The sequence below is a fragment of the Homo sapiens genome, chromosome X (assembly GCF_000001405.40).
Source record: "Homo sapiens chromosome X, GRCh38.p14 Primary Assembly".
In the NCBI taxonomy this organism is placed as follows: domain Eukaryota; kingdom Metazoa; phylum Chordata; class Mammalia; order Primates; family Hominidae; genus Homo; species Homo sapiens.
In genome coordinates, this window is record NC_000023.11 from 101,414,411 (window position 1) to 101,438,523 (window position 24,113).

Consider the following 24,113-nt stretch of genomic DNA (forward strand, 5'->3'; position numbering starts at 1 on the left):
CCCTTATACCCTCCTTATTGATGCACATTATTCTTTTTGAACTTTGCCAGTTTTTTAGTTGAGAAATGATATCTCATTGCTATTTTAATTTGTATTTTTTTGATTAATATTAAAGTTGTACATTCTTTTTTAAAAAAAACTTACCATGTCTACAGGACTATTGAGCTACTTTTGGAGACTGTACTTACCAAGATAGTATTCTCTAAAATCCAAAGAAGTGAAAGCAAATAAATAATCCTTTTTATTTCACCACAAACTAGAAGGCACGTTTGTATGTTTAAAAAGAAGTAGGCTTACAATTATGTGTTAAAAACAAAACATAAAAAAGAAGCAGGTTTATGTTATGGAAATAAATTGTCTCCTCCATGAATTCATTAGTAGATTCTCTATAAACACTCTCAGGTGTATTTTAGGGCATCTAAAGCTTATCTTAAACCAGCGGTTCTCAAACATTCATGTGCATCAGAATCATCTGCAGGGGTTGTTTAAACATTCATTTCTAGGCCCCATCCCTAGAGTTTCCAATTCAGTAGTTTTGGGATGTTGCTTGAGAATGTGCTGATGCTGCTGGTCTCAAGACCACGTTTTGAGACCCATCACAGTTCCCCAAACAGCAACTTTAAGGAGCAGCTTCCTTTATGATCCCTGATTGCCTCCCCTTTGTTCCCATAACAAGTAGTTTAAATTTTCTGTTAAAGTCCAAACCACATATTTACAATACCTCGCACCTCTTAATGAGGATTTTGAGCTGCTGTGGCATTGTGTGCTGATATCTTAGATTTCTGTCTGGATCACAGTGGTCATTAACAATTCCACCCCTCAATAACTTTAAGGCCCTGATGTCCCTCTTATCAGTACCAACTGTACCGTGAACTACAGATCTCTGTAGTTTCACTGACCCCTTGGGGACTGGATTGCTATACTTGGGCTGTTCAGGGCTTGGGGCCCAGAGAAATGAGATGGGAGGCAAATACCAAGTTGGTATTACCTGACTCCGTTTCATTCAGGAAATGAAAATCAATTCTAGAAAATCATTCAAGCTGAAGATGCAGTGAGACGTGATTGAGATTCTTTGATGACTTCTAATTTTTATCACAGCTTTCAGGAGAGCAAGAAATCCATTTTGACTCCTATCATGTTGAGCCAGTCCTTGCCCTTCAGGAAGCCTTTCTCAGAGGGTAAACAAGTAGGTGTTTTTGCCTTCCCAGGCTACTTAGTTAATTTTCCAGAAGTTTCTCTAAGTCTGAGCAAAGATTCTCAAGTTAGCCACTAGATGGCACCAAATCCCAGGAGACAATAGAGGGTTCTTTGTGATCTTAGATGTTCACTTACTCTTCTTCGCTGGCTAAGAAGACTCAGAAGGGCTCTGGGGAGCAAAGGAGAGAGAACCTGGAGAAGGTCAGCGGTCAGCACTAGAGGTGTGCAAAGGGACAGCAGTACAGCTGGTGTGCACACGCGTGCACACCCACCACCATTCGTGCTCCAACACTCACATCTAACACTACTACCCAGGAAAGTGATGGGAGGTCGAGTGGGCAGTCCACCCACAACACCCCCCAAACACTGAGTCAGAGGATTTATTTTCAACTGCGTGTGTGAGCTATTTGGCAGGATCAGGCAGAAAATTTGCAGCCACAGTTATCGTGGTCTAAGTATCCGATGGCTTGTGCCAGTGGTTCTCTGGGTGTGGTACCTGATCAGTAACAGCATGAACCTCCACCTTGTGAGATATGCAGATTCTTTTTGCCCCCCCGCCCCCCGCCTCGTCCCTTTCCCCCAAGGACTGAATCAGAAACTGGGTGTGGAGCCCAACAAGTTGTGTTTTGTTTTTTGTGTTTTTCTGAGACAGGGTCTCGCTCTTGCCCAGGCTGGAGTGCGGTGGTGCGATCTCAGCTCACTGCAGCCTTGAATTCCAGGCTCAAGTGATACTCCCACCTCAGCCTCTCGAGTAGCTGGGACTACAGGCGAGTGCCACCAAGCCCAGTTATTTTTTAAAATGATTTTTATAGAGACGGGATCTCACTATGTTGCCTAGGCTGGTCTCGAACTCCTAGGCTCAAGAGATCCTCCTGCCTTGGCCTCTCAAAGTGCTGGGATTACAGGTGTGAACCTCTGTCCAGCCAATAAGCTGTGTTTTAACAAGTGCTCAGGGTGGTTCTGCTGCAGGAAACTACTGGCTGATGGATACATGGATTCCATTATCCACCCATTCATTGATTCCTGCATTCACTCATCCAACCCTAAAGGAGGTAACCAAAACAGAGACAATCCCATGTGTAAGCATGACATATCTTCTCTGCCTTCTCTACCCAGCAAAATGATACGAAAATGCATTGCGAATATGTTTATAAATCAAGCTCCTTTTCCATCAGGTAGAATTCCTAGTGCTGTCAGCTAAAATGAAGATTTCTCCAAGATGGGCCTCCAGGGCTATTGCAAAACAGCTGCTGATGGAAGGAAATTCCACTTGCTGTGCCTTATACCAGGCTGGGAGTGTCACAAGAACCCTTTACAAGCTGCTCCCACAATGACCAAAACTGTCTTCTCATGAGTGCAAAGCAGGCATGCCCAAGGGGCCCAGGTTAGCATGGTGCAGGACTCCGCTGGGAAGGTGAGGGGTTATCGTCGCGGGGGAGTGTCGACTAACTGGGCTGGTGGTGCAGGGGTAAAATAATTTACCAAGACAGTTGGAGGTAAAGGCAGATTTATTAGAGAAAGTAGGAAAATACGTTTCGAGAAGGCAACGGGCAGCCTGCAAGAGAGGAGCCGACTGAAAAGAAACAAAGGCTTGCTGGAGATTTTATAGGATGGTTTTTGGGCTGATTGAGAAAACCAAGGCAGTAGGGAGCTAGCTTGCATTCTTCTGTTAGCTGGGGTGTTTGATAAATTGAGGCGTTTGATAGTGAGCAGGAAGTTTGTGAGTTATGTATGTTATCTGCGCAAGAAGCCACATGTCCTGGGCCATAAAGAAAAGCAGACCTATAGCTTATCTGATTCCTCTTTTTGTTTATATGTTCTGGACCATGAAGAAAGACAAACTTATAGCTTATTTGCTTTCTCCCTTTGCCTTCCCCTGCTCCAGCCAGCCTAACTCCTTTTTTCTAATTAGGATTCCACAGTTATGTTGTCCCTGTGCCTGCAGCCTGTGAATGGACGCCCCACCACCTCCGTCACAGCAGTGGTCAGCACAGATAAATGCACACAACACACATCGATCTGGCCCTCTGAGAAGAGAATGTTAGGCTTCTGAAAGAAGAGATAAATAGTGAGAGATAACATCTAAGAATCAAAATAATATATTCAGTAATTATTTTCTGAACCTATCCTAATGCTCTGACCGATACATTCTTTAGAACATCTACCCGTACATTCCAAGGACCCTTTTTCCACGGCCCTTTTTCTCCCTGTATCCCTCTTCCTGCTCCCCTTCTTTTGCACAGGGCATGTTTCACATATACAAGATGTTCTTACGTGTCATCCCACTTTAGAGATGAGGAAATTGAGTCTCAGGGAAGGCAAACATCAACTTTGTCTTGGGGAAAGGGCAGGAAGCTGGAAGGGAGGAGGAAATGAGCTCTGGCGAAGGAAAGAGGACATGGCTGGGATCCTTATGGGGTGGTGTACGAGTACCCGTGCCCCCCCCGATCTGTGGGCTGAGGGTGGCGGTGACTAGCGCTGGGACCAGCTCCTTCTCTCTCGCTCCCAAGCCCACAAGAATTCGGGGAGAAAGGGTGAGGTAGGGGGCTCCGGGAGAGCGGAGAGAGTTTGGAAAGAATCCATCCCTCCTTCTCCCCGGCGGCTTTCTCGAGACCCTCACACAGCGCCCCGCCCCGCCCCAGTACATTTCCTTTCAGGGAAAGGGACAGGGAAGAGGCTGTCGGGAAATGGCGGCCGCGGCCGGGCTGGGGCTTCAGCGGGAGGCAGCAGAGGGGAAGTGGTCAGCGTGGCGAATGACGGAAGGTGGCGAGGGAGAGGAAGAGGGGTCGGGTGTCCGCGGAGCTCCAAGAGGGAAGACAATCGCTTTGCCAAACACGGCAGGGCATCTGGAAAGGCCTGGGAACCTCACCCGCCCTCCCAGGCCCTTCGGGCTCTTTTCGGTCCCATTAGGAGGAGGGGGAGGGCGGCAGGTGGGACCGGGCACAGGCCTAGTCGTGCGACAGGAGAAGGGAAGGAAGGGCCGGCCCCAGCTGGGTCCTCCTTGCGTCTGGCCTGTGCCGGACGCCCCCGACTCCGAGTGATCTCGGGCCGGTCCCCGGGGGAGTCCAGCTTCTCGCGCCAGGGGAGTTCTCAGCCCCAGGGCAGTCCAGGGATTAGGCGGAAGGGGGCACGCAGCCACCTGGCCGGGGCAGGGGGAGCTGCGAGGAGCCTTTTTTTTTTTTTTTTTTCCTGCGCAGAGCCCCTTGCGTGACACACAGTAGGCGCTCAATACATGTTTATTTTCAGTTGAGTGTTGCTTCAGCTTTTATGGCTTGTGATAAATCCTTATCCTTCTGTTCTAGAAACTCGCATTGTCTACTGGATCAAGGACAGACAGCTCACCAACCGTGACAGCACCATACTGGAACTTCAAAAAGTTCTGAAAACATGTTGGTTCGTTTGTTGGAGTATTTTTCAACTTAAATTCCTTTTCCTTTTTTTTTTTTTTGCTCACTTTTTCCTCTGCAGAAAAACCTTAAAATGTTCTACCTTTTCCTTGAAACCTCCTCCCACTCCTTAGTTCACATTGACTTGTCTTTAAATGTTTTTGAGAAAATAATCAGAAATGCACAATTAGTGCTTGGTGGTTCTCAAATTATTTCACGCGTGGTAGTTTTGATTTTTGCTTTTCCAGTGAGGCTGTACCTTTCATCCTTAGGCAAATATGATGGCTTTCAAAAGCAGCTATGGGGTGGGAACTGGGAGTGGCTGCAAATGGGCATGGAGCGTCTTTTAGAGATAACGAAAATGTCCCAACTTAGATTGTGGTGATAGTTCGCACAACTCTATAAATTACTAAAAACTATTGAATTTGCACTTGAAAAGGGGGAGAACTTTATGAAATATAAATTATAACTCAAAGAAGCTCTTAAAATGCCTATGGAATAATAAGTAAAGAGTAGTGGGGATATGATCTATTTTGTGGGGAGACTAGCAGCAAAGTAAGACATAAAGATAAAGAAACATACACTGGCCTGAGGAAGTAACAAAGTCTCTTTGAGCAAACTTTGGACAGGCTCCTCTCAGCTTTCTTTTCAACTACACCTTGTCCTTGGGCCCTGTCCTCGGCCTGCCTAGCCCAGTTTTAGCAAGAGTCCTGCTGAGTAACTCCCTCACCCTTGATACCTGATCACCTTGTCCTGCCTTGAGCGAGAATCCTGTTTAGTCAGTTGAGCAAGAATCCCCCTACCCTTGATATCTCTCTCCCCTTAGGAATTTTCTTTCTACTGACTCCCTCACTCTGCTGCTTGACTGTAAATCCACACTTGTCCTAGTTGTCTTTGGATTGAGCTTAGTTCTATACTGAAGTCTCTTTTCCTCTATTATAATAGTACTCAAAATATGGCTTTACTGCTTTTGACTAGTATCTGGCTCTGTTTCCCATTGGCGGAAGGCACTCTCAGACAGTGCTTCTAGTAGTATATATTAGCATGACCTGCCAGGGTACAATTCTTTTTAAAAAGACCACCAATTGGCTGGATGCAGTGGCTCACGCCTGTAATCCCAGCACTCTGGGAGGCCGAGGCGGGTGGATCAGGTCAGGAGTTCGAGACGAGCCTGGCCAACATGGTGAAACCCCCATCTCTACTAGAAATACAAAAATTAGCTGGGCATGGTGGTGTGCGCCTGTAATCCCAGCTACTTGGGAGGCTGAGGCAGGAGAATCACTTGAATGCAGGAGGCGGAGGTTGCAATGAGCCAAGATTGTGCCACTGCACTCCAGCTTGGGTGACAGAGTGGGCCTCCGTCTCAAAAAAAAACAAAAACAAAAAAAAGACCACCAATTTATTGCCAGGCATTGTACTGGGTGCTGAGGAAATTTGAGGAAAAACACCTATTAAGTTCCTGTCCTCAAGGAGCTCATAGTACAGTGGGGAGCCAAGTAGCAAGCAAATAGCCATGCAAGTGTATAATTGCAATGAGGACAAGTATCATGAAAAGGAGGGTACATGGTGCAATGAGAGCCTATAAAATAGGGGTATTCGACTAGTCAAGGTGGTCAGGAATTGCTTCAAAGAAGCAGTTATTGAGCTGAGAGTTAAAGGAAGAATAGTGGCTAATTAGATTGGAGGTGAGAGTTGGAGGAGCTGGTTTGAGGCTATGTGTTCAGAGATGGCATGGTGAGTAAAAGAGACTGAATGAAAGTGGCTGGAGTTCAACAGGCAGTTGGGACAGCAGTGTGTTGGGTCAGGGCATGCAGGGCCTTACAAGCCATCTTAAGCCATTCAGTCTATATCCTAAGAGCCATTGGAAGCCCTGTGGGATGGGGAGAACGAATCAGATTTGTCTTTGAAAATATTGCCCTGGGGGCCAGGCACAGTGGCTCATGCCTGTAATCCCAGCACTTTGGGAGGCTGAGGCAGGTGGATCACCTGAGGTCGGGCATTCGAGACCAGCCTGGCCAACCAACATGGTGAAACCCCGTCTCTACTAAAAATACAAAAAGTTAGCCGGGCATGGTGGTGCATGCTTGTAATCCCAGCTACTCGGGAGGGTGAGGCAGGAGAATCGCTTGAACCCGGGAGGCAGAGGTTGTGGTGAGCTGAGATCGCGCCATTGCACACCAGCCTGGGCAACAAGAGCAAAACTCTGTCTCAAAAAAAAAAAAAAAAAAAAAGAAAGGAAAAGAAAATATTGCCCTGGCTACAGTGTGGATAAAGGATTGGGAAGGAGTCAGAATGTATGGAGAGTTTTATTAGAAGCCATTTCAACAATCTAGAGTAGAGGTAATAGTAGCTTGTACTACAATAGCCATGGTTTACATGGAGGGGATTGGTATATTTTAGGGTTTCTTAGGAGGTAAAATCTGCAGGACTTGGCAATGGATTGGAATTGGGAGGGAGGGAGTGTGATATTGTGAAGTACACATTTAGTCTTTAGTTTGTTTTGTGCTGCTATAACAATACCCGATAGTGGGTAATTTATAAACAGAAATTTATTGCCTTACAGTTCTGGAAGATAGGAAGTCTAAGGTTAAGGTGTGGGCAGGTTTGGTGTCTGGTGAGGCCATTCTCTTTTTCCAAGATGGTCCCTGCACACACTGTGTCCTCCAGAGGGGAGGAAGGCTAGATCATGACATGGCAGAAGACAGAAAGAAGGGCCAAGAGATAGAGCAAGAGGAGACCGATCTTGCCCTTTTATAATGGCATTAATCCCACCTGTGAGGGTAGAGCCCTCATGGCTTAATCACCTCTTAAAAGTCTCACCTCTTAATACTATTACTGCAACCGCCCAGTGGGTTCACCTTGCCTGCTGCCTAGACAGAGATTTATCAAGACAGGAGAGTTGAAATGAAGAAAGAGTAATTCACACACAGCCGGCTGTGCAGGAGACCAGAGTTTTGTTATTACTTAAATCAGTCTCCCAGAGCATTTGGGGGATCAGTTATTATTATTATTATTATTATTATTATTATTATTATTATTTGAGACAGAGTCTTGCTCTGTTGCCCAGGCTGGAGTGCAATGATGTGATTTCGGCTCACTGCAACCTCTGCCTCCCGGGTTCAAGCGATTCTCCTGCCTCAGCCTCCCGAGTAGCTGGGATTACAGGTGCCCGCCACTATGCCAGGCCAATTTTTGTATTTTTTAGTAGAGATGGGGTTTCACCATGTTGGCCAGGCTGGTCTCGAACTCCTGACTTCAGGTGATCCACCCGCCTCAGCCTCCCAAAGTGCTGGGATTACAGGCGTGAGCCACCGTGCCTGGCTGGGATCAGAGTTTTTAAAGATAACTTGGTGGGTAGGGGCTTGGGAAGTACGGAGTGCTGATCAGTCAGGTTGGAGATGGAATCATAGGGGGTCGAAGTGAGTCTTTCTTGCAGTTTTGTGTTCTGGGTGGGATGGCAGAACTGGTTGAGCCAGATTACAGGTCTGGGTGGTGTCAGCTGCTCCATCGAGTTCAGGGTCTGAAAAGTATCTCAGGCACTGATCTTAGGTTTCACAATAGTGATGTTATCCCCAGGAGCAATTTGGGGAGGTTCAGACTCTTGGAGCCAGAGGCTGCATGACCCCTAAACTGTAATTTCTAATCTTGTAGCTAATTTGTTAGTCCTGCACAGGCAGACTAGTCCCCAGGAAAGAAACGCCTATGATCAATTTTGTTTCAGAATCAAACCACAAACTGAATTCCTTCCCAAAGTTAGTTTGACCTATGCCCAGGAATGAACAAGGACAGCTTAAAGGTTAGAAGCAAGGTGGAGTCGGTTAGGTCTGATTTCTTTCACTGTCATAATTTCCTCAGTTATAATTTTGCAAAGGTGATTTCATTACAATGGCAATTAAATTTTTCATTTTTATTTTATTTATATATATATATTTTTGAGACGGAGTCTCACTATGTTGCCCAGATTGGAGTGCAGTGGCGCAATCTTGGCTCAGTGCAACCTCTACCTCCTGGGCTCAAGCGATTCTCCTGCCTCAGCCTCCCGAGTAGCTGGGATTACAGGCGCCCACCACCATGCCCAGCTAATCTTTGTATTTTTACTAGAGACAATGTTTCACCATGTTGGCCAGGCTGGTCTTGAACTCCTGACCTCAGGCGATCCACTGGCCTCGGCCCCCCAAAGTGCTGGGATTACAGGCGTGAGCCACCATGCCCATGGGGCAATTAAATTTTAACATGAGTTTTGGAGAAGACAAACATTCAAACCATGGTAGTCTTCATCCTCATTTTCGCGAATTACAGCTTTTAAAACCCTTAGAATCTCTGAGGTGATGAGAGTATCTTTTGCCCTGGGTGGTGGCTCACGCTTGTAATCCCAGCACTTTGGGAGGCCGAGGTGGGCGGATCACCAGGGGTCAGGAGTTTGAGACCAGCCTGACCAACATCGTGAAACCCCATCTCTACTAAGAATACACAATTAGCCGGGCATGGTGACACATGCCTGTAATCCCAGCTACTTGGGACGCTGAGGCAGGAGAATCGCTTGAACCTGGGAGGCGGAGGTTGCAGTGAGCTGAGATCACGCCATTGCACTCTAGCCTGGGCAACAAGAGTGAAACTCCGTCTCAAAAAAATAAAAATAAAAATAAAAATAAAAAAGTATCTTTTGCATGCTAATGAGATAACTGGTGGCTGAGGCTCCTAGGTAGATTTAGGACGGGGGCGCTGGTCAAGGCAGGATTAGAGAGTTGAGACTTTTTCACCACACCCCCAGCCTCTGGGGAAGGGAGAGGAGCTGAAGGTTAAATTGACTAGCAGTGGCCAATGATGTAATCAATCATGCCTACATAGTAAAGCCTCTATTTTATTTATTTTTTATTTTTATATTTTGAGATGGAGTCTCACTCTTGTTGCCCAGGCTGGAGTATAATGGCGTGATCTTGCCTCACTGCAACCTCCATCTCACGGGTTCAAGCGATTCTCCTGCCTCAGCCTCCCAAGTAGCTGGGATTACAGGCATGCACCACCACGCCTGGCAAATTTTGTATTTTTAGTAGAGACAGGGTTTTGCCATGTTGGTGGGGCTGGTCTCGAACTCCTGACCTTATGTGATCCACCCACCTCGGCCTCCCAAAGTGCTGGGATTACAGGCGTGAGCCACCGTGCCTGGCTGTAAAGTCTATAAAAACCCGAAAGAATTGGGTTTGGAGAGCTTCTGGATAGCGAACACATGGAGGTACCTAGAGGGTGCTGTGCTTGTAGGGGGCATGGAAGCTTGGTGCCCCTTATCCTGTACCTTGTCCTATGTGATTGTTCCATCTGGCTGTCCATCTATATGCTTTGTAATATCCTTTATAATAAACCTGTAAACATGTTTTTCAGAGTTCTGTGACCCTCTCTAGCAAATTAATCAAACCCAAGGGGAGGGTCATGGGAACCCTGATTTACAGTGGGTCAGTCAGAAGCATAGCTTACAACCTGGCATCTGAAGTGGAGAGCAGTCTTGTGAGCCTGAGCTCTCAAACTGTGGGATCTGACACTATCTCCAGGTAGGTAGTAACAGAACTGAATTCAATTAGAGGACATCCAGCTGGTGTCCACTGCAAAACTGATTGCTTGATGTATGGGAAAATTCTCCCATACATCTGGGGCTACAGAAGCATTCTATATTAAATAGAGAGTATAGGAAAATCCACATTTTGTTTACTCCCCCCTGTATCTTACAGTGAGAGTGAGCGGTCAAGGGTGACTTCTCAGTTTCTGGCTTGTACAACTGGATGTTTGGAGTAACAGCATTAAGAAGCAGGACCTTTAAGATCACATTGAATACTAAGTTCAGGTATGAGGACTGTGAGTTTAGTCTTAGACATACTGTGTTTGACGTGCCTTTGAGAACACCCAAGAGAATATAGGTAGTTGGATGGATGGATCTAGAGCTCAGAAGGGGCCTATATATTGGATATATAAATTGTGTGCTATATGGATATAGTTGATAATTCAAGCCATGTGTGGGGATAAGGTTGTCTAGGCCAAAGAGTATCAGAGTGAGAATGCAGGAGATCAAAGAAGGAGGCTTGAGAAACTCCAGTATTTCATGTGGAGTACAGGAGAGTCAGCCTGCAAAGGAGACTGGGAAACAGCAGCCAGGGAGGTTTAAAAGAAAGTTAGGAGGGACTTGTGTCATTGAAGCCAAAGAAAGAAACTGTTTCAAGATGTAGGGAATGGACTGTTAACAATGTCCATTGCTGCTCAGAGGTCAAATAAGATGTGGACTGGTAAATATGTGTTGCATTTAAGAATATGGAGGCATTGGTGTCCTGGATGGATCTATTTTCATGGAATGACGGGGCAGAAATCTAGAATGGAACAGATTGGAGTGTGGTTAGCAGAGAGAGGAAGGCACTTTTTTTTTTTTTTTTTGAGACGGAGTTTCACTCTTGTTGCCCAAGCTGGAGTGCAATGGTGCGATCTCGGCTCACTGCAACTTCCGCCTCCCGGGTTCAAGCAATTTTCCTGCCTCAGCCTCCCGAGTAGCTGGGATTACAGGCGCACACCACCATGCCCGACTAATTTTTTGTATTTTTAGTAGAAACGGGGTTTCACCATGTTAGCCAGGCTGGTCTTGAACTCCTTACCTCAGGTGATCCGCCTACCTCAGCCTCCCAAAGTGCTGGGATTACAGGTGTGAGGTACTGCGCCCAGCCGGTAGGCAAGTAATGGAAACAAAGAATATAGGCAGCTATTTGAAGCACTTTGGCTGTGAAGGGCATGGAAAAGTCAGGGTAGAAGCAGGAGCGAGACTACGGGTCAAGAGAGGCCTTTCAAATTATTTATTTATTTATTTTTTTGAGACAGGGTCTCACGCTGTTGCCCAGGCTGGAGTGCAGTGGCACAATCACAGCTCACTGCAGCCTTGATTTCTTGGGCTCAGGCGATTCTCCCACTTCAGTCTTCTGAGTAGCTGGGATTAGAGGTGCGCACACCACCACGCTGGGCTAATTTTTGCATTTTTTGTAGACATGGGGTCTTGCCATGTTACCCAGTCTGGTCTCGAATTCCAGGGCTCAAGCAATCTGCCTGCCTTAGCCTCCCAAAGTGCTGGGATTACAGTCTTGAGCTGCTGCACCCAGCCAAGGACTTTTTTTAATGGAGAAATTTTGTGGATGTGTAAAGTTTACAATTAAGGGTCTGTAGGGAGTGAGTGGTTAAAAATACAGCAGAGAGATGGGATAAATCATAGAGTACGTTTGCTAAGAGAGAGGAGCATCTGGAATCGAAAGCATAGGTGGAGGAATTAGTGTTCACTAAAAGGCAAGAGCATCTCTGTCTTAATTGAGGAACTAACTGCTGGTAGGATGTGTGCAGGTATAGTTGGTTTATGTTTGGTGTTAGGAAGATGAGAGACAACTTCCTTCTAAAGGCTCCCCCAACCCCGTTATTTTTTCTGTAAATGAGGGTGTGGTCATCTGCATGTAGAGATAATAAGGAGGAGGAGTTGGAAGGCTGAAGAGAATGGAGAAGGTTCAATGAGTTGTAAGGGTGAGAGCAGGTTGTAGGTTGACCAGAGAAAAATAGAAGGACTGCTGAGAAATGTTGATGGCTCACTTCTGGTTGTTGATGGTAAATTTACTATGAGCCAAGCTTTATTTTTTTCTAAGTGCTTCTCTAAGTGTTCTAGTGTTTTATTTAATCCCCAAAGCAGCTCTATGAGGTAGGTATTATTATTATCACCCCCTTGTCACAGATGGTAAAATGGAGGTACAGCAAAGTTGTGTCATTTGTTTAAGGACAAAGAGCTAGCTAGGTTTGGAGCCAGGTAGTCTGACTCCAAAGCCCATGATCTTAACCATCACTCTAAAATATATCCTAAAAATAGGTCCTGATCATACTTTTTCATTGATAAACATAGATCTGTATAATCACATTTAAGGACTACATTGTTGGTTTTATGCTTGATGGTCTGTCCAGTGACTTTTCCAGAAACTCTCTAGCTGCATTCTTGAGTCAATGCCAAATCTCAGAAAGGAGAGAGCTTATTTGAACCCTATGTTACAAGAGTTTTGATTTCCTTTCCTTCTAGTTTGTTGTATTTTCCAATTTTCTATAGAGAGTACATATAATTTTCATTTTGTGGGGAAAAATAAAGTTAACATCTCTAAAATAAAAAAGCCAGGCTAGGAAGGGAATAGAGGTCTAAGACTCAGTGTTTTTAAAATCTACTATAGCTAAACATGTTTACTTTGTGTCTTAGTTTATTTTGTGTTACTATAACAGAATATCTGAGACTGTGTAATTTATAAAGAAAAGAGGTTTATTTAGAGGTTTATTTAGTTTTGCAGGCTGGGAAGTTCAAGGGCATGGCCTCAGCTTCTGGTGAGAGCTTTCTCTCTCTCATTTTTTTTTTCAAGACAGAGTCTTGCTCTGTCGCCCAGGCTGGAGTGCAATGGTGCAATCTTGGCTCACTGCAACCTCCACCTCCCAGGTTCAAGCAATTCTCCTGCCTCAGCCTCCCACGTAGCTGGGACTACAGGTGCACGCCACTGTGTCTGGCTAATTTTTTTTGTAGTTTTAGTAGAGATGGGGTTACACCATGTTGGCCAGGCTGGTCTCGAACTCCTGATCACAGGTGATCCGCCTGCCTTGGCCTCCTAAAGTGCTGGGATTACAGGCATGAGCCACTGTGCCTGGCCGAGAGCTTTCTTGACACATCATAACATGGCAGAGAAGGTCAAAGGGGAAGTGAACACATGTGAAGAGGCAAAACCTTAGGGGCATCCTGGCTTTATAAAATCCTACTCTTGTGGGAACTAATTCATTCCTAAGGGAATGAATCCAGTTTTGAAAGAGGGAGAACTCACTCACTACCATGAGAATGGCACCAAGCCAATCATGAGGTATCTGCTCTCATGACCCAAACACCTTCCATTAGGCCCCACCTCCCAACATGCCACATTAGGGATCAAATTTCAACATGAGTTTTGGTGAGGACAAACTATATCCAAAGTATAGCATTCTATAATTCAACAACTCCATTCCTAGAAATTTCATTTCAAGAGAAATTAAAGCTTATGTGTATATAAAGACGTGTACACCGGTGTTCTTACCAATTTTATTTATAATTGCCCCAAACTGGAAACAGACAAATGTGCATAAACAAGTGAGTAGATAAACTGTGGTATATCCATACAAGGGAATACTATTTAGCAATAAAAAGGAATAAATCCTTCATATATACACCAACATGGACAAATCTCAAAATAATTATGCTGGGTGAAAGATGTCAGATTAAAAAAGAGAGTATATACTGTATTATTACATTTATATAGTATAGGAAATGCAAATTAATATACATTTTCAGTACTCAGATCAGTGGTTACCTCTGAAGGTGAGGATTAACTAGGAAGGGGCATGAAGGAATCTTATGAGGTGATGGAGGTGTTTTATATCTTGGTCTAGTTACACCAGTGTATACATATCAATTTCATTAAGCTGTGCATTTGAGATTTATGCATGTTACTCTGTGAATGTTGTATCTCAGTAAAAAGGTTAAGACAAAGTTTAGCTCCTTTTGTCAGTCTCCTTTCCCTTTCCTTTGACCCTTTCCTATATTTCTTTTTCTCTCCATCTCTCTCTGTTCTCTACTTTTTGTATCCATTTGAGAGAGAGTTGATGGCACATCAGGCACTCATGCTGACTCTACACTTAACCCTGCCAATTAAATGTTCACATCCCTTCAAATGTACAGTTTATTCAGGAAAGTAGGATTGAAGAAGTCTGTGGTTAAAGAATAGCTCTTAGGAGTGAACATTTCTTCCTTTTCCCTTGCACTTGAATTAGATACGTATCTTTGGGCCTTCACTTCTGTTTTGGTATTTCTTTTCCTTTTTTTTTTTTTTTTTTTTTGAGACAGAGCCTTTGTCACCCAGGCGGGAGTGCAGTGGTGTGATCACAGCTCACTGCAGCCTCAACCTTTCGGGCTCAGGCAATCCTCCTGTCTCAGCCTCCCGAGTGGCATGTGCCACCATGCCCGGCTAATTTTTTAAGTTATTTGTAGAGATGGGGTCTCCCTATGTTGCCCAGACTGGTCTCGAACTCCTGGGCTCAAGGAATCCTCCTGCCTCAGCCTCCCAAATTGCTGGAATCACAGGCATGAGCCGCTGTGCCCAGCTCTGTTGTGGTATTTCTTTAACAGCTGGCGTTATAGGAATCAGACAGACTTGCCTTTGAATCCCTGCTGCACCACTTGTTAGCTATTTGATCCTGATACAATGACTTATCTTCTATGATCCTCAGTTTTCTCATCCAGAGCATGGGTATAATAATGCCTACCTCCTAGATTGTCTTTTTTTTTTTTTTTTTTTTGAGGTGGAGTTTCGCTCTTGTCGTCCAGGCTGGAGTGCAATGACGTGATCTTGGCTCACTGCAACCTTAGTCTCCTGGGTTCAAGTGATTCTCCAACCTCAGCCTCCCGAGTAGCTGGGACTACAGGCATGCGCCACCATGCCTGGCTAATTTTTGTATTTTTAGTAGAGATGGGGTTTCACCATGTTGGCCAGGCTGGTCTCAAACTCCTGACCTCAGGTGATCTGCCCACCTCGGCCTCCCAAAGTGTTGGGATTACAGGTGTGAGCCACCGCGCCCAGCCAGGTGTCTTAAGAATTAAATGAGATAATATTGGTAAAGCACTTTGCCTGCCATCGAGAGGCCACTTAATTTCGGATGGCTTTCTTATTTCCCAAGACTGTGAACTTGTGACTTTTGACTCTTGGATGACATCTAGCCCTGCTCCATTAGACATTAAATAACTCTTTTTATTGTTACTAGTATAACAACTAGGGAGAGGACTTATACTTGCAATATGACTTTTAAATCTGTCCTTGGGCTCACATAACATGTTTCTTACCATATAAGAATGGAGAAGGCTTTTTTATTGGCTTCCACGACATTCCTGGGTGGTTGGTTTGAGACAGCTAGTTGTTGCTATCCTGTTACAGAGGTGAAGGCAGGAGAGGCATCTTGACTTCACCAAGATCTTATATCTTGTATGGTGATAGGTCTGGCACTGACAAATGTTCTATATCTTTCCTTGAGCAGATGTAATAAGACATTACAGACATCTGAGTAAATAAAAATAGGGTTATGGTTTTTCTTCCTACCCCAGACTCTACCAGATGACTCATTCCTACTACATAGAAATAACAGTGAATGTCAACCATAACACAGATGCCTATTTATTTCTCTCCTTACTGACTCATTTTTGAGAGCTTTTTAGCTAGTTGTGCTATTTAGTTGATCTCAAAGTTATCTTCTGCAGGGAAGTTTCGGTGGAAAGAACACTGATATTTGTTGAATGATTGCTCTGTGTCAAACATAGGGCTAGTTGTTTTTAAGGAGGTCTAATCAACTCTGAGGTAATAAACACTATTGGATTTTGGAGAATGAGAAAACTTGATTGTGGAAAACAGAACCAGTTTCTAGACCGCCACTCAGCTAATATGTGACAGAAGAAATATCCCTTATCCCCATCCATTGATTTTATTTCTTTTTGCTTCAGATTTAAAGAGCATGTGACAAATAGTCTAGCCTTTCTCTGTCTTAGCCCCATTGCAGTCACTGTTAACCAACTATCTTCTTGAAACCAAAATGACTCAGCCTAACCACAGAAGCAAATCAAACACTGATGGCCCATAATCTCCAGACAAGGCTTTAACCAAACCTCTGTCTATCCATCTATCCATTTGTTCATTCATTCAACAGATATTTGTTGAGCATTGACTCTTTGCTAGACATTGTGTGAGGGGTTGTTGTTGATGCTAGAGTAGAACTATTTATCTTCCACAAATGAGGCATGACCCTGCTAGGGACCTGTGTTACTAGCAAGCAGCTTTGAGGTCAGGGTAGGAAGTGAGGATAGAGTCTCAGAAGGAAGAAAATAAATATTTACAGAGTGTGGATTGTATCCAATTCATGGGATCCTGGGAAGTTCATTAACTGCCAGGAGGATTCCTAGTTCTCAGCTCTAGGCAGCAGCATCTTGGAAGGCTTCTCTGAAGGTGGACTCCGAAGGATCTAAGGCTCAGATGTTCCCCTTTCAGCTTCTGCCCTCCATTCCCTGCACTCCTAGGTCTTAGATGGTCATGCTTGTCTCTGTATCCAAAACCTACTTTTGGCACATTTTTATTTCCTCCCAAGCTGTAAGAACAGCTTGTTCACTTGGGAAGGTCATACTTCAAAGTGGAACTCTGCCATTTCAGAGGGGCTTTGAAGATACACAGTATACCTGGGGGAGTGAAGGAGTTGGGTGTCACTCCCCAGGATAAGGCAAACAAAAACAAGAACAGACACATATCACTATGACTTAGGTATGGATTAAAGATTAACTGCACCTTGCACAGAGGTGGCTCTCAATACGTTTTCTGCATTCCATCTTGAGCATCATTTTTTGGCTCTATTGTATTCTACACTTCCTTCCCAGAAGTTTACAGTGTTTCCTAATTCACTGATAAGCAGTTAAAAAATTGCCCCACATTTGGTATTACAAAAGTTTATGCACCACGTTTCTTTTTTTTTTGAGACAGAGTCTCGCTCTGTTGCCCAGGCTGGAGTGCAGTGGCACAATCTCGGCTCCCTGCAAGCTCTGCCTTCCGGGTTCATGCCATTCTCCTGCCTCAGCCTCCCGAGTAGCTGGGACTACAGGCACCCGCCACCATGCCCGGCTAATTTTTTGTATTTTTAATAGAGATGGGGTTTCATTGTGTTAGCCAGGATGGTCTTGATCTCCTGACCTTGTGATCTGCCCGCCTCAGCCTCCCAAAGTGCTGGGATTATAGGCGTGAGCCACCACGCCTGGCCTGCACCATGTTTCTTAAAGGCATATATAGTGATTGTTTTCTTTTCTAGTTTTGCTAATAGTGTATGTTTTGCTGATCATGTAGTAACAGTGTTTTCTTTATAAATTTATGAAAGTACAAAAAGATATATATGAAAACAAATGAGCCAGAGGAAATTACTATTGATATTCTGGCATATTTTCCTCCAGCTTTTCAACAAATCTTGAATATATAATCTTGAATTACTCTTTTAAAAATTGACATTATAACATACGCATTTTCCTGTTTTCATTTAAAAATTCCCATAAACATCTGTTTCAAGGTTTGCATATTCTCCCTTTTATGGCTGTAGGCAGGTTCACTGAATGACAACTTAGCCTTGAAGCCCTCTATGACCACTCTTGACCCTATATGTCTTGCCTCTGGAATGGACTGAAGCGAAGATGAGTCCCGTGTTCTCTATCCCTTAATAGTGGTTTCATGTGAGGGAGTTCTGCTTTGCTGGATAGGGTGAATCACATCCTCCAAGACACCAGCCTTCTAAAACATTTACCATATAGGGCTGGGCGCGGTGGCTCATGCCTGTAATCCCAGCACTTTGGGAGGCTGAGGCAGTAGGATCACGAAGTCAGGAGTTCAAGTCTAGTCTGACCAATATGGTGAAACCCCGTCTCTACTGGAAATACAGAAATTAGCCAGGTGTGGTAGTGCTCGCCTGTAGTCCTAGCTACTCGGGAGGCTGAGGCAGGAGAATCGCTTGAACCTGGGAGGCAGAGGTTGCAGTGAGCCGAGATCCTGCCCCTGCACTCCAGCCTGGCAACAGAGCGAGATTCTGTCTCAAAAAAAACCCCATGTATATACATATATACGTATATATACACATATATATGTATACATATATGTATATACACATATATACGTATATATATGTGTATATACACGTATATATGTATACATATATGTATATACACATATACACATGTATGTATACATATATATGTATATACGTGTATATATGTATACATATGTGTATATATACACGTATATATACACATATGTATACGTGTGTATATATACGTGTATATACACACACGTATACATACGTATATATATACGTGTATATATACACACATGTATACATATGTGTATATGTGTATATATACACACATGTATACATATATGTGTATATATACACATATGTATACATACACGTGTATATACACACATATGTATACATACACGTGTATATATACACATATGTATACATATATGTGTATACATACGCACGTATACACATGTATGTATACATATTTGTATATATACTCACATATACACATATGTATACATACATGTGTATATACACGCACACATACACATATATGTGCATATACGCACATATATACATATATGTACACATATGTATATATACACACATATATACATATATGTACACATGTACGTACACATATACATATATGTACCTATATGTACATATATACTTACATATAAACATATGTACATATATGTACATATATACTTACATATAAACATATGTACATATATGTACATATATACATACATATAAACATATATACCTGTATGTGTATATGTATACACACACACACACGTACTTAGGACAGTGTTGTGCAATAGGAAGGTCTTCATAAAAACATTTTTGGGAAAAGTACTTAATTTCTCTGAGTCTGAGTTTCCTCATCTGTCACATCTGTTTCCTCATCTGATCCATGTGGATTGCAGGTACAACAAGTCACTGGGTTGTTGTGGTGATTAAATGAGAAAATGTCTATAAATGAATCCCAGTGCTTGGCACATAGAATGTGCTCCATAAATGTCAGTCATTATTACTATTCCCTGATAAATGACGTAGTGTGGAGAAGTATCGATTGAGTACAGAAAACAGGACAGGGCTTGGAAGTGGTGATTAATGATGATGCAAAAAAAAATTATTCTCCTGCAAAACCTGCTTGCTTTATGCACATTTGGACTATTGGGGCAGAGACCATGGTGGGCCTGTGGGCTTTGAAACCACCTCAGAAAACATTTTGCCTTAGAACATTCTTTTCTATTTTTATTTTTAAAAAGAAGATATCTTGGGTGGTTATCCACTTTTTTTTTTTTTTCCGAGATGGGGTCTGGCTCTGTCGCCCAGGCTGGAGTGCAATGGCTTGATCTTGGCTCACTGCAACCTCTGTCCTCTGGGCTCAAGCAATCCTCCCACCTCAGCCTCCCAAGTAGCTGGGACCACAGGCACATGCCACCATGCCTGCCTGTTTTTTGTATTTTTAGTAGAGACGTGGGTCTCACCATGTTGCCCAGGCTGATCTTGAACTGCTGAGCTCAAGCGATCTGCCCACCTTGGCCTCTCAAATTGCTGGGATTACAGGTGTGAGCAATGTGCCTGGTTAGAGTATTCTTTTTTTTTTTTTTTTTGATATGGATCCTCATACTGTCGCCTAGGCTGGAGGGCAGTGGCATGATCTCTGCTCATTGCAACCTCCGCCGCCCAAGCGATTCTCCTGCCTCAGCCTCCCGAGTAGCTGGGATTAGGGGCATGTGCCACTATGCCTGGCTAATTTTTTGTATTTTTAGTAGAGACAGGGTTTCCCCATTTGGCCAGGCTGGTCTCGAACTCCTGACCTCGTGATCCGCCTGCCTCAGCCTCCCAAAGTGCTAGAATTATAGGCGTGAGCCACTGCGCCCGGCCATGGTCAGAGTATTCTTAAAAAACATCAAAATGAGTATAGGGTGGGAAGGGACTAACATTTTTTTTTATTCTATTCAATTTATTTATTTATTTATTTATTTTTTATTATACTTTAAGTTTTAGGGTACATGTGCACAACGTGCTGGTTAGTTACATATGTATACATGTGCCATGTTGGTGTGCTGCACCCATTAACTCATCATTTAACCTTAGGTATATCTCCTAATGCTATCCCTCCCCCCTCCCCTAACCCCACAACAGGCCCTGGTGTGTGATGTTCCCCTTCCTGTGTCCATGTGTTCTCATTGTTCAATTCCCATCTGTGAGTGAGAACATGCGGCGTTTGGTTTTTTGTCCTTGCGATAGTTTGCTGAGAATGATGGTTTCCAGCTTCATCCATGTCCCTACAAAGGATATGAACTCATCATTTTTTATGGCTGCATAGTATTCCATGGTGTATATGTGCCACATTTTCTTAATCCAGTCTATCATTGTTGGACATTTGGGTTGGTTCCAAGTCTTTGCTATTGTGAATAGTGCCACAGTAAACATACGTGTGCATGTGTCTGTATAGCAGCATGTTTTATAATCCTTTGGGTATATACCCAGTAATGGGATTGCTGGGTCAAATGGTATTTCTAGTTCTAGATCCCTGAGGAATCGCCACACTGACTTCCACAGTGGTTGAACTAGTTTACATTCCCACCAACAGTGTAAAAGTATTCCTATTTCTTCACATCCTCTCCAGCACCTGTTGTTTCCTGACTTTTTAATGATCACCATTCTAACTGGTGTGAGATGGTATCTCATTGTGGTTTTGATTTGCATTTCTCTGATGGCCAGTGATGATGAGCATTTTTTCATGTGTCTTTTGGCTGCATAAATGTCTTCTTTTGAGAAGTGTCTGTTCATATCCTTCGCCCACTTTTTGATGAGGTTGTTTGATTTTTTTCTTGTAAACTTGTTTGAGTTCATTGTAGATTCTGGATGTTAGCCCTTTGTCAGATGAGTAGATTGCAAAAATTTTCTCCCATTCTGTAGGTTGCCTGTTCACTCTGATGGTAGTTTTTTTTTTTTGCTGTGCAGAAGCTCTTTAGTTTAATTAGATCCCATTTGTCAATTTTGGCTTTTGTTGCCATTGCTTTTGGTGTTTTAGACATGAAGTCCTTGCCCATGCCTATGTCCTGAATGGTATTGCCTAGGTTTTCTTCTAGGGTTTTTATGGTTTTAGGTCTAACATGTAAGTCTTTAATCCATCTTGAATTAATTTTTGTGTAAGGTGTAAGGAAGGGATCCAGTTTCAGCTTTCTACATATGGCTAGCCAGTTTTCCCAGCACCATTTATTAAATAGGGAATCCTTTCCCCATTTCTTGTTTTTGTCAGGTTTGTCAAAGATCAGATAGTTGTAGATATGTGGCGTTATTTCTGAGGGTTCTGTTCTGTTCTATTGGTCTATATCTCTGTTTTGGTACCAGTACCATGCTGTTTTGGTTACTGTAGCCTTGTAGCATCGCTTGAAGTCAGGTAGCGTGATGCCTCCAGCTTTGTTCTTTTGGCTTAGGATTGACTTGGCAATGCAGGCTCTTTTTTGGTTCCATATGAACTTTAAAGTAGTTTTTTCCAATTCTGTGAAGAAAGTCATTGGTAGCTTGATGGGGATGGCATTGAATCTATAAATTACCTTGGGCAGTATGGCCATTTTCAGGATATTGATTCTTCCTACCCATGAGCATGGAATGTTCTTCCATTTGTTTGTATCCTCTTTTATTTCCTTGAGCAGTGGTTTGTAGTTCTCCTTTACGAGGTCCTTCACATCCCTTGTAAGTTGGATTCCTAGGTATTTTATTCTCTTTGAAGCAATTGTGAATGGGAGTTCACTCATGATTTGGCTCTCTGTTTGTCTGTTATTGGTGTATAAGAATGCTTGTGATTTTTGCACATTGATTTTGTATCCTGAGACTTTGCTGAAGTTGCCTGTCAGCTTAAGGAGATTTTGGGCTGAGATGATGGGGTTTTCTAGATATACAATCATGTCGTCCGCAAACAGGGACAATTTGACTTCCTCTTTTCCTAATTGAATACCCTTTATTTCCTTCTCCTGCCTAATTGCCTTGGCCAGAACTTCCAACACTATGTTGAATAGGAGTGGTGAGAGAGGGCATCCCTGTCTTGTGCCAGTTTTCAAAGGGAATGCTTCCAGTTTTTGCCTATTCAGTATGATATTGACTGTGGGTTTGCCATAGATAGCTCTTATTATTTTGAGATACGTCCCATCAATACCTAATTTATTGAGAGTTTTTAGCATGAAGGGTTGTTGAATTTTGTCAAAGGCCTTTTCTGCATCTATTAAGATAATCATGTGGTTTTTGTCCTTGGTTCTGTTTATATGCTCGATTACGTTTATTGATTTGCGTATGTTGAACCAGCCTTGCATCCCAGGGATGAAGCCCACTTGATCATGGTGGATAAGCTTTTTGATGTGCTGCTGGATTCAGTTTCCCAGTATTTTATTGAGAATTTTTGCATGGATGTTCATCAGGGATATTGGTCTAAAATTCTCTTTTTTTGTTGTGTCTCTGTCAGGCTTTGGTATCAAGATGATGCTGGCCTCATAAAATGAGTTAGGGAGGATTCCCTCTTTTTCTACTGATTGGAATAGTTTCAGAAGGAATGGTACCAGCTCCTCCTTGTACCTCTGGCAGAATTTGGCTGTGAATCCATCTGGTCCTGGACCTTTTTTGGTTGGTAAGCTATTAATTATTGCCTCAATTTCAGATCCTGTTATTGGTCTATTCAGAGATTCAACTCCTTCCTGGTTTAGTCTTGGGAGGGTGTATGTGTCGAGGAGTTTATCCATTTCTTCTAGATTTTCTAGTTTATTTGCGTAGAGGTGTTTATAGTATTCTATGCTGGTAATTTGTATTTCTGTGGGATCGGTGGTGATATCCCCTTTATCATTTTTTATTGCATCTATTTGATTCTTCTCTCTTTTTTTCTTTATTAGTCTTGCTAGCAGTCTATCAATTTTGTTGATCTTTTCAAAAAATCAGCTCCTGGATTCATTGATTTTTTTGAAGGGTTTTTGTGTCTCTATTTCCTTCAGTTCTGCTCTGATCTTAGTTATTTCTTGCCTTCTGCTAGCTTTTGAATGTGTTTGCTCTTGCTTCTCTAGTTCTTTTAATTGTGATGTTAGGGTGTCAATTTTAGATATTTCCTGCTTTCTCTTGTGGGAATTTCGTGCTATAAATTTCCCTCTACACACTGCTTTAAATGTGTCCCAGAGATGCTGATATGTTCTGTCTTTGTTCTCATTGGTTTCAAAGAACATCTTTATTTCTGCCTTCATTTCGTTATGTACCCAGTAGTCATTCAGGAGCAGGTTGTTTAGTTTCCAAGTAGTTGAGCGGTTTTGAGTGAGTTTCTTAATCCTGAGTTCTAGTTTGATTGCACTGTGGTCTGAGAGACAGACCACATTATAACAAACTTGTTATAATTTCTGTTCTTTTACATTTCCTGAGGAGTGCTTTACTTCCAAGTATGTGGTCAATTTTGGAATAGGTGTGGTGTGGTGCTGAAAAGAATGTATGTTCTGTTGATTTGGGGTGGAGGGTTCTGTAGATGTCTATTAGGTCTTCTTGGTGCACAGCTGAGTTCAATTCCTGTATATCCTTGTTAACTTTCTGTCTCGTTGATCTGTCTAATGTTGACAGTGGGGTGTTAAAGTCTCCCATTATCAGGCTGGGTGCGGTGGCTCACGCCTGTAATCCCAGCACTTTGGGAGGCTGAAGTGGGCGGATCACGAGGTCAGGAGATAGAGACCATCCTGGCTAACAGGGTGAAACCCAATCTCTACTAAAAAATAAAAATAATTAGCCAGGTATGGTGGTGGGCACCTGTAGTCCCAGCTACTTGGGAGGCTGAGGCAGGAGAATGGCGTGAACCCGGGAGGCAGAGCTTGCAGTGAGCCAAGATCGCGC

The 24,113-nt window shown here is 43.3% G+C and overlaps 1 protein-coding gene across 1 annotated transcript in view; it reads left to right on the top strand.

Annotated features, from left to right (window-relative positions):
* Positions 3,868–24,113, top strand: part of ARMCX4 (armadillo repeat containing X-linked 4) — a 117,711-nt gene continuing 97,465 nt past the window's right edge. The window contains exons 1-2 of the transcript NR_028407.3: positions 3,868–3,960; positions 4,500–4,590. The gene's annotated coding sequence lies outside the window, so the exon portion shown is untranslated. The remainder of the gene's footprint in view (positions 3,961–4,499; positions 4,591–24,113) is intronic.